Source organism: Homo sapiens, chromosome 11 (assembly GCF_000001405.40).
Source record: "Homo sapiens chromosome 11, GRCh38.p14 Primary Assembly".
Taxonomy (NCBI): Eukaryota; Metazoa; Chordata; class Mammalia; order Primates; family Hominidae; genus Homo; species Homo sapiens.
The window spans coordinates 64803420-64813599 of NC_000011.10; the positions used below are offsets into that span (position 1 = coordinate 64803420).

The 10180-nt window shown below is 55.2% G+C and overlaps 1 protein-coding gene across 31 annotated transcripts; it reads right to left on the minus strand.

Moving 5' to 3' along the window:
* Window positions 97-7875, minus strand: MEN1 (menin 1). Of its 31 annotated transcripts, none has more exons than NM_130804.3 (11): window positions 7615-7875; window positions 7395-7486; window positions 6231-6713; window positions 4472-4680; window positions 4133-4261; window positions 3760-3800; window positions 3592-3679; window positions 2813-2949; window positions 2216-2351; window positions 1615-1779; window positions 97-1397 (listed from the first exon to the last, which is right to left on the minus strand). In NM_130804.3, the coding sequence occupies exons 3-11, from the start codon at window positions 6688-6690 to the stop codon at window positions 915-917; spliced, it is 1848 nt and encodes a 615-aa protein (NP_570716.2). In that variant the 5' UTR covers window positions 6691-6713; window positions 7395-7486; window positions 7615-7875; the 3' UTR covers window positions 97-914. The 31 variants fall into 31 exon arrangements, 27 of the variants coding, with proteins under 27 accessions (NP_570716.2, NP_001394073.1, XP_016873257.1 ...); NM_001407144.1 differs by lacking the exons at window positions 7395-7486; window positions 7615-7875 and adding exons at window positions 2469-2594; window positions 7211-7267 and having other exon boundaries at window positions 6246-6713; XM_017017768.2 differs by lacking the exons at window positions 7395-7486; window positions 7615-7875 and adding exons at window positions 2469-2594; window positions 7211-7267.

Here is a 10180-nt window from a genome sequence, read left to right on the forward strand (position 1 = left end):
CAAAGTCCCGGGAGCCAGAAGACAGAGGGAAGAGGGGGCGCTCCACTCCCCGCCCCATCCCCAATTTCCCAGATAAACATGGACTTGCGCTTTATATTTTTTTTAACAAAATGTATTCATCTTTCTTGGAACTGAAAAATAAATCTATGTACAAAACAGGAAGAGATCAGGCTCTTGTCACCCACTCCTAACCCTCTGCAGATTTCCTCCGGGATGCTCCGAGATGGGCTGGACCTCTGGGAGGTTCCCAGAGGGTCGGAAGGGAGGTCCTGCTCTGATCCGGGGCCAGTTTCGTCAGGAAGAGGGCGGGGCTCAGGATGCTCATAGGCTGGGGGCGGAGTTTTGTGTCCCAGACTCGGGATACGAAGGAGAGGAAACTAGGATTTCCAAATTCTGGAGCAGGACTGAAGTTATTTGGGGCAGGGAGCTTGGATTCGCAAGATATGGAATTCTGAAGTGCGGAAATATACTCCTAGGGGCTGAGTGGTCCTAGGCTCCCGGGCTGGAGGTGGGACCTGTGCTCCTTGGGTTAAGGGTGAAACCTCAGCTCCTACAAGCTGGGAGGAGCCCTGAGTAACGTTGGTCTGGCTCTAGGTGAGCGGTTCCGAGGAGGAGCTTGGGTTTCTAGGGGCTGGGCCTTTAAAGACTGGTAATTAGGACCCAGCGTGAGGTTTCCATTGGCCGGCTGGGATTCTGGGAGAAGAGACCTATATTCTAACGACTGGGGCAGAGCCCTGGGTTCTGAGCTGGAGAAAATCGTGGGTTTGATACAGACTGTACTCGGGACCGGGAACCTAGGGTTTGGGTAGAGGTGAGGCCTGTCCCCTTTGGGCTGGGGGCAGAACATGGGCTCAGAGTTGGGGGACTAAGGGCGGAGCCTGGGTCCCCACAAGCGGTCCGAAGTCCCCAGTAGTTCAGAGGCCTTTGCGCTGCCGCTTGAGGAAAGACAGAGTGTAGTCACTAGGGGTGGACACTTTCTGCTTCTTCATCTGCACTTGCGACTGTGCCGTGAGTTGCAGCTTGATGGCGCTCGAGTTGATCTTGGTGGCCACCAGCAGCTCCTTCATGCCCTTCATCTTCTCACTCTGGAAAGTGAGCACTGGACCCTCCGGCGGTGGTGATGCTGTGGGTGCTGGCACCTGAGCCGTGCTGCCACCTTCAGGGCCTCGGGCTGTGCCAGCGACAGTCCCAGGAGGCTTCCGGGGGGGTCCTGACACTGCACCCTGGCCGGTGCCCAGGCCCTTGTCCAGTGCTGGCTTCTTGGGCGGCGGGGGCTCCTCTGGCTTGGACTCCCGCCGTGGGCCCCGCCGCCGGCCTTCCCGGGCTTCCTCGCCCCACGGCTCCTCGGCCTCGGCCGCCTCGGCCTCTCGGCTCACTATGCGCACCTTCTGCCGCACCTGGGCCAGTGGGGAGAGCAAGGTGAGAGCAAGGTTGCCGGCCAGTGGCTGGAACTCCAGGACCCTGCTCTGGCCATCCCATCCCACCCAGGGGGTCTCAGTCCCATCGGCACCCAAGGGGATGGGCAGATGCTGCCCCTGGGCCAGAAAAGTCTGACAAGCCCGTGGCTGCTGTCACCACCTGTAGTGCCCAGACCTCTGTGCAGCTGTCCCTCACCTGTCCCTCAAAACGGCCTAGGGACTGCACAAGAAAGGTGGCCCAGCCCACATGCAGCACAGGCGTGGGACTGCCCTCCTCCCATTTGCAGATGCCGTCGTAGAATCGCAGCAGGTGGGCGAAGCACTCAGGGTCCTGGAGGGCGGAACCTTGGCTCTGGGTGCCCTGGACGAGGGGGAAGGGAGGGCACAGATCAGTCTCTTACTCACCCCTTAGCAGAGGGCACAGGCCAGGCCCCCCACCTAGGCAAAGACCCCTGGCTCCAGAAAAGGTAAGCATAGGTTGGGAACATTCTTAGAACCTCTTTCCTTTTATAAAGCCAATCCATAGCCAGGACGTACCATCCCTACCTCCACCCCTCAGCTGAGGGAGGGAGTCTGGCCATGAAACTGAAGGCACAGGGTAGAAACCTCTAAAATACCTTCAGTCCCGTCCAACGTGGGCCCAGGACCTCAGTTATAGCAAAAGGGAACATAGCTGTCTGCTCAGGGCCACCTTCCTCCTGCCATCCCTAATCCCGTACATGCAGCCCCCATGGCCTGTGGAAGGGAGCCCTGTCCAGGTGGGAGGCTGGACACAGGCTGGAGCTCCAGCCTTTCACCTGGCTTTGCTCCCCCGGCCGCTCCTCGCCCGCCTCCAGCAAGCTGGCTGCCTCCTTCAGCAGGTTGGGGATGACATCATTGGCTACTTCAAAGAACTCCTTGTAGATCTCCTCGTCTTCCCGGCAGTAGTTGTAGCTGTGAGAGCAGTGGGGTCTCTGTAGGGTCTGAAGGGGTCTCACCATCGGGGGTAGCCCCAGGGACCTGGCGGGGGATGGAGCCCCCAGGGGCTGGGGGAGTAGGTGGGGTCCTCACTGCAAAATGATGCTGTCTGGGTCAGCCCAGAGGAAGAAAGCAAGAATGAGGAGGGGGGCATGGGGCCGAGGGTGGAAGTCCCACTGCTGGATGATGGTGGTTAAACATTGGAGATTTGAGACTGTTCTGAGAAAAAAAAAATTAGGAGGAGAGGGGAGGGAGGGAAAGATGTGACACCTTAATCAGGGTCCCTACCTCCTGGGTAATGGTGGCCTTGCTGCCTAGGGACTGGATGGAAAGGGGATGGGGCGTGGGAGCCAGGCCTCAGTCCTGGACGAGGGTGGTTGGAAACTGATGGAGGGGAAGAAAGGACAGGCTGCAGGCCCTAGTAGGGGGATCCTCACTCCTGGATGACAGTGGCCGTGTCCGCCCAGGCCTGCAGGGCTTCCCGCACATTGCGGTTGCGACAGTGGTAGCCAGCCAGGTACATGTAGGGGTAGATGTGTTCATCCCGATAGTAGGTCTTGGCTGAGGCAATGCCCTGGATGGAGGTGAGGCAGAGGATCCTCAGGGAGGCAGCCCCAGCTGCCCTGCTGGCACAAATGCCCCACCAGGGCACACCCAGAAGGGGCCACAGGAAGATCCCAGGGAGTCCTCTCCATCTCCACTCCCACCTCCACTCGCTGCCAGCCCTTCTACCTGGTCTCCTCCCTGGGTCTACAGGACTGCTGGCTGAGGCCTGGGGCAGACTGCAGGGGTGGGGCCTGCCCTCCGAGCTCAGGGCCCTTCTCTTTCTCAGACACTCTTCTACACATCACCAAAGACTTTCAAGCCCAGCCCAATGGCCCTCCTCCCCACCTACACCCACCAAGTGAACACCCCCTCTTCATCAGTGCTCCTGCCACATTTGACCTCTGTTATACTCCAGGAAGGACAGTAAGCAGTGGCAGAAAAGGCAGGGCTGAGGGGACAAATGCAGCCCCTGCCACTCCCAGGCTGGGGAACCCTGGACACCCCTCAGACAGCCCTGACTGAACTGATTCTGCACACAGTTGACACAAAGTGAGACTGGATGGGCGATACCCCCCAACACACAAAGTTCTCTTCTCATCTGCCCAGATGAGGGCCCCTGCCTCAGCCACTGTTAGGGTCTCCCTTCTGCACCCTCCTTAGATGCCCCCACCTTGTGGTAGAGGGTGAGTGGGTCTGGCCGGCCAGGGGTGGGCTCCAGCTCCTCTAGATCTGCCAGGTTCCCTAAGGCCATGGGGTACCTAGGAAAGGATCATAATTCAGGCTGCCACCCAGCCCCCCGGCCTCACCAGGCGCAGCCTGGCCACTTCCCTCTACTGACCTTTCCAGATGTCCCAGGTCATAGAGCAGCCAGAGCAGCTTCTAGGAGCCGAAGGAGAGAGTTATGAGCCACGGAACAGGGAGGAGAACGGGTCCTTAGCCTATCGGGCAGAGGTGGGGGTCAGAACCAACAGGGACCACCCACCATGTGGAAGGGCCAAAATTCTGGGACCAGCCCTTTAATGGAGTCAAAGCAATTTCACATCTCAATTCTACTCTCCCAAGAGCCCTGGGAAAGGCCAGGCCAGGAATTACTAACCCATTTTTCCAGGAGGGGAAGCTGAAGCTCAGGAAGGGAAAGTGCCCCTGCCCAGGGTCCCACAGCAAGTCAAGTCTGGCCTAGCCCAGTCCTGCCCCATTGGCTCAGCCCTCACCTGCTGCAGCTGCAGAAGCTCCAGCGAGTCGGTGTGCAGGTCAATGGAAGGGTTGATGGCACACACCATGAACGCCACCTCCATCTTGCGGTCACAGCGCATGTATGATCCTTTCAGGTACAGCCAGCTCTTAGGGGGGGATGAGATCATTATGTCTCATGATGGCCCACCCTGTGCCTGCTTCAGGGAATGACAGCCAGGAAAAGGGGCTCTTCTGTCTTCCCTTCCTATGTGGGTGGTGATGGGAAGAAAGGGGTGTGGCCCAAGAAAATGGAGTCCCTTGGGTGGCTTGGGCTACTACAGTATGAAGGGGACAAGGCTGGGGGGAGGGAACAATACCCGCTCAGCCACACCGGCATTGACTGTCTGGCCCCTGCGGTCCTCGTTGCCCTTGCCGTGCCAGGTGACCTCAGCTGTCTGCTCCCCATTGGGCCCAAACACTACCCAGGCATGATCCTCAGACAGGGCGAGGTGGACATCCCGGAGACCCAGGGCCTGGCAGGCCCCAACCACAGCAAAGGCCACACCGGAGCTGTCCAATTTGGTGCCTGTGGAAGGGGGAGGTAATGAAAGAGGGTCCTCTGTGCTTTAACATGGGGAAAGGGGGCCAGGTAGTGATGGGCCACACTCCCTCCCACTCCCTTTCCAAGCCTGTGACCCAACCTCAGATTCTCCTGCCCACTATCCCTCCATCCCTTCCCTCCCACGTGTTCAAAGACTCTCTCCCTGTTTACACCCTCTATGTCCAACAAGATACCTTTCTGGATATCCTGTAGCTGACCCAGCCTTTGGCCCTACCTCGTCTTTCTCTGCAACTCTATTATATATTCTATGGATTTAGGGATTCCATTTTACTGCACTTACTAGGTTAAAACAGGAATGGCAAAAACAGGACGCTGGCCAACACTCTCTGGCTATACACCCACCAACAAATAACCCTCATTTATCTCTGCACTCTTTTCCTGCTAAGCTGAGAAGCAGCCTCTGATTCCTTCTCAATATGGCACACCAGGATGGGATTGCCAGTCAACCGGGCTTGGTGCAAAGCTCTTTGCAAGCCCTGACTCTTAAGCCTTTTGAGGTCAAGCCCCTTCTCTGTCTCAAACATTTTTGACCAGGTGCGGTGGCTCACGCCTGTAATCCCAGCACTTTGGGAGGCCAAGGCGGGCGGATCACGAGGTCAGGAGATCGAGACCATCCTGGCTAACATGGTGAAACCTCGTCTCTACTAAAAATCCAAAAAAAAATTAGCCAGGCATGGTGGCAGGCTCCTGTAGTCCCAGCTACTCAGGAGGCTGAGGCAGGAGGCAGGAGAATGGCATGAAAGCAGGAGGCAGAGCTTGCAGTGAGCCGAGATTGCACCACTGCACTCCAGCCTGGGCGACAGAGTGAGACGCCGTCTGAAAAAAAAAAAAAAATTTTCATAGGCCACCAGTTGCGGTGGCTCACACCTGTAATCCCAGCATTTGGGAGACTGAGGCGGGCAGATCACTTGAGCCCAAGAGTTCAAGACCAGTCTGGGCCACATAGTGAGACACCATCTCTACAAAAAAAATACAAAAAATTAACCAGCACCACGGTGCATGCCTGTACTCTCAGCTACTCAGGAGGCTGAGGTTGGAGGATCTCTGAGCCCAGGGAGACTGAGGCTGCAGTGAGCCATGATCACACCACTGCACTCCAGCCTGGGGGACAGAGTGAGACCCTGTCTCAAAAAAAAAAAAAAAAAAAATCTTCATAGCCATTATTTTGTTTAACTGCCTCAAATGCAGCCCAATTTCATCTTCTTGCCCCCTAAATCTGCTGCCGCCCTCTGTGTCTCATGCTTAGAACTCCTGTAGCTGTTCAGTGGCAAGGGTGGGGGTGCTGAGGGGGCAGAGGTGAGGTTGATGATTTGGAGCCAAGTGATCAGGCTTCACTTCCAGCCCTGCCATGCCGTGTGTGACTTTGGCATATCATTTCCCCTCTCTGGGCTTCAGTTTCCCAACTGCAAAGAGGAAAATAACACCTGCCGAACCTCACAAGGCTTACAGTTCTTAAAAGGGTTCTGTAAACCATGGAGGGTTTTGAAGAAGTGGGTCATGGATAAGATTCCCACCTACTGGGCTCCAACCTGTGATGAAGCTGAAGAGGGACTGGATGTGGGCCCGATCCTTGAAGTAGGAGCGGCTGAGGCTGTTCCATATGACATCGGAGACCTTCTTCACCAGCTCACGGCTGGAGACACCCCCTTCTCGAGGATAGAGGGACAGGTCGACGGCGCCTCGGATCTGGGCGGTGAAGCGGGCATAGAGGGCGGCGATGATAGACAGGTCGGCCACGGGAAAGTAGGTGAGGCCGCCAGGCGGGTCGGGGGCGGGGCTGGGCTGGAAGGTGAGCTCGGGAACGTTGGTAGGGATGACGCGGTTGACAGCCAGAAAATGCTCCACGAAGCCCAGCACCAAGGAAAGGAGCACCAGGTCCGGCTCCTCTCGGCCCAGCTCGGCAGCAAACAGGCGCACCACGTCGTCGATGGAGCGCAGCGGGAACAGCGTCTTCTGGGCGGCCTTCAGCCCCATGGCGGCGGGCGGTGGGCGGCGGCCTGCAAGGCAAGCCGGGGGAGGGAGGGTCGGGCAGGTTCGGCCGGGGAGCCTCCTCCCAGGGTCCGCTAAGGTTCCACCCGCCCCGACACACGCACAGCTCCCCTGCTTCCCCACCCTCTTCAGCCTCTGCTCACCGGCTTCCCCTCTTTTGTCGGTGAGACCCCTCAGCCGAGACTGCAGAGCCTTTTTGTCCCCCACAATTCCGGGACGCCCGGTACCCGATGGGGTGCGCCCCAAGCACCCCAATGAGGAGCCCCAATGGCCGCCCCGCCCCCTCTCTACGACTGTGCCCCCGGGGCTGTAAAGTCTGTCCAGAAAGCGCACCCAGGTCAAGCCCCCAAACCCCAAGGAGAGTCCTGGCCTCGGTCCCCCTCGCCCACCTCCGCGCTTACATCCCACACTAGGCACCGCGGCGCACGCCGCCCGGAGCCTGCTGGGACATGAAGTCCCGCCCCTAGGGTCGCACTACCCGCCGGGAAGTGGAGTCTGGGCCCACCCCTGCCCCGCTGAGCCTGGAAATAGTGGCGGGCCGGGCCGCTGCGCTGTGGCTTCTGGGATCTCTAGGTCCGCGGCTCCGGACACCTCCTTCCCGAGATACTCAGGGATTGGCCCTTCCCTTCAGGCCGACCAGGCAGGAAGCGTGCCCGCAGTGCCTTCTGGAAAATGTAGTCCGGGGGCACTACCTGCAGACTCGGGGTGGGAGGTCGCCGAGCTTCTGCCGGTTTTGCTGTCACGGGTCGGTCGGCAAGTTATGAGGAAAAAGATCAGGTTGCTTGATCCAGAAAAAATTAAAATAAAACAATATGAGAAAAACAGATACTTTTAAACACTGCCAGAGAGTAAATGTGTTCAGCCGCTTTAGCTGGGTATCAGTGTCTGTTAACATATAAAGATGCCTACTCTGTGTGCAGCACTCGTTTCCCACTTCCGCCCGCGAGATACTCTAACACGTGCTAAGAGTAGCTTTTGTTTGTTTGTTTTGAGACACGGTCTTTCTCTTTCGCCCAGGCTGGAATGCAGTGGCTCGATCTGGGCTCACTGCAGCCTCGACTTCACGGGCTCAAGCGATTCTCGTGCCTCAGCCTCCCGAGTAGCTGTGATCACAGGCGTGCGCCACCACTCCCGCCTAATTTTGTGTGTATGTGCATATACATAAATATATATACATATAACACACACACACACACACACACACACACATATATATATATATATATATATATTTTTTTTTTTTTTTTTTTTTTTTTTTTTTTTTGCAGAGACAGGGATTCCCAGCTACTTGGGAGGCTGAGGCGCGGGGAATCCCTTGAACCTGGGAGGCGGAGGCTTCAGTGAGCCAGAATCTTGCCACTGCACTCCAGCCTGGGCAACAGAGTGAGATTCCGTCTTAAAAAAAAGTCCCAAGTAGCTGGGATTATAGGCGTCCGCCACCACACCCAGAAAACTTTTTGTATTTTAAGTAGAGATGGGGTTTCACCATGTTGGCCAGACTGGTCTCGAACCCCTAACCTCAAGTGATCTGCCCGCCTCAGCCTCCCAAAGTGCTAAAATTACAGGCGTGAACCACCTTACCCGGCCAAAGAGTAGTTATTTGTTTATTTGTTTTGAGACAGAGTCTCGCTCTGTCACTCAGGCTGGAGTGCAGTGGGGTGATCTCGGCTCACTGCAACCTCTGCCTCCCAGGTTCAAGTGATTCTTCTGCCTCAGCTTCCCAAGTAGCCGGGATTACAGGTGCCTGCCACCACACTTGGCTAATTTTTGTATTTTACTTAGTAGAGACAGGGGTGTCACCATGTTGGTCAGGCTGGTCTCGAACTCCTGACCTCAAGTGATCCTCCTACCTCGGCCTCCAAAAGTGCTGGGATTACAGGTGTGAGCCACTGTGCCTGGCCTGTATCAACAACGCTTTGAAACTTTGAAATAATACTAAATTTCCACGGTCACTCATTTATTTGCTTATTCATTCAAAAAAAACAGATTTTTGGTACTTACCATGGGCCAAGTTCCAGACACTCGGTATATAGCAGTAAATAAAACAGATTAAATTTCTGCCCTACTTCACCTCTTCACCTCTCTGGATTTTCCTCAAAATTTATAACTCTCCTCTAATCATGAGAAAACATCTGGCAAAACAGAGTTGAGGGACATTCCACAAAATACCTGACCAGTATATCTCAATAGTGTCAAGTTCATGCCAGGCTCATGCCTGTAATTACAACACTTTGGGAAGCTGAAGCAGGAGGATTGCTTGAGGCCAGGAGTTCAAGACCAGCCCGGGCAACATAGGGAGACCCGGACTCTACAAAAACAAAAAATTGACCAGGTGTGGTGGTGCTCACCTGTAGTCCCAGCTACTCAGAAGGCTGAGGCAGGAGGATTATGTGAGCCCAGGAGGTCAAGACTGCAGTGAGCTGTCACGCCAGTGCACTCCAGCGTGGGCAACACAGTGAGACCCCGCCTCAGAAACAAAAAACAAAAGAAATCAAAAGAGCCAAGGTCATGAAAGATAAGGAAAGACCCACAAATCATTGCAGATGAGAGACCAAGGAGACAGAACAACTAAATGCAATGTGGTGTTCTGGATCAAATCCTGGAACAGAAAAAGGACATCAGTAGAAAAACTAGTAAACAGGGTAACCAGCCTTCCAAGCTGGCCCAGAACTGAGGCAACTCGGGAGTATGCGACTTTGAGTTTAATTTAATTTAATTAATTAATTAATTTATTTATTTATTTATTTATTTTTGAGACAGAGTCGCTCTGTCGCCCAGGCTGGAGAGCAATGGCACGATCTTGGCTCACTGCAACCTCTGCCTCCCAGGTTTAAGTGATTCTCTTGTCTCAGCCTCCCGAGTAGCTGGGATTACAGGCACCCGCCACCACACACGGCTAGTTTTTGTATTTTTAGTAGAGATGGGGTTTCACCATGTTGGCCAGGCTGGTCTTGAACACCTGGCCTTAGGTGATCTACCTACCTCAGCCTTCCAGAAGTGGTGGCATTACAGGCTTTAGCCACTTTGTGTTTCAAAAACAGTCAAAGCTAAGCTCAGTGGCTCACACCTGTAATCCCAGGGCTTTGACATGCCAAGGCAGGAAGACTGCTTGAGGCCAAAAGTTCCAGACCAGCCTGAGCAACAAAGCAAGACCCTGCCTCTACAAAAAAAAAAAAAAAAAAAAAAAAAAAAATTATTTTAAATTAGCCAGGCACAGTGGTGTGCACCATGTAGTCCCAGCTACTCAGGAAGCTCAGGCAGGAGTTCGAGGCTGCAGTGAGCTGTGATCGCACCACTGTATTCCAGCCTGAGTAACACAGTGAGATCCTGTCCCTAAAAACAACAACAACAAAAACAAAAGCCAGACTGGGCACGGTGGCTCACGCCTGTAATCCCAGCACTTTGGGAAGCCGAGGTGGGCGGATCACTTGAGGTCAGGAGTTTGAGACCAGCCTGGCCAACATGGCAAAACCCC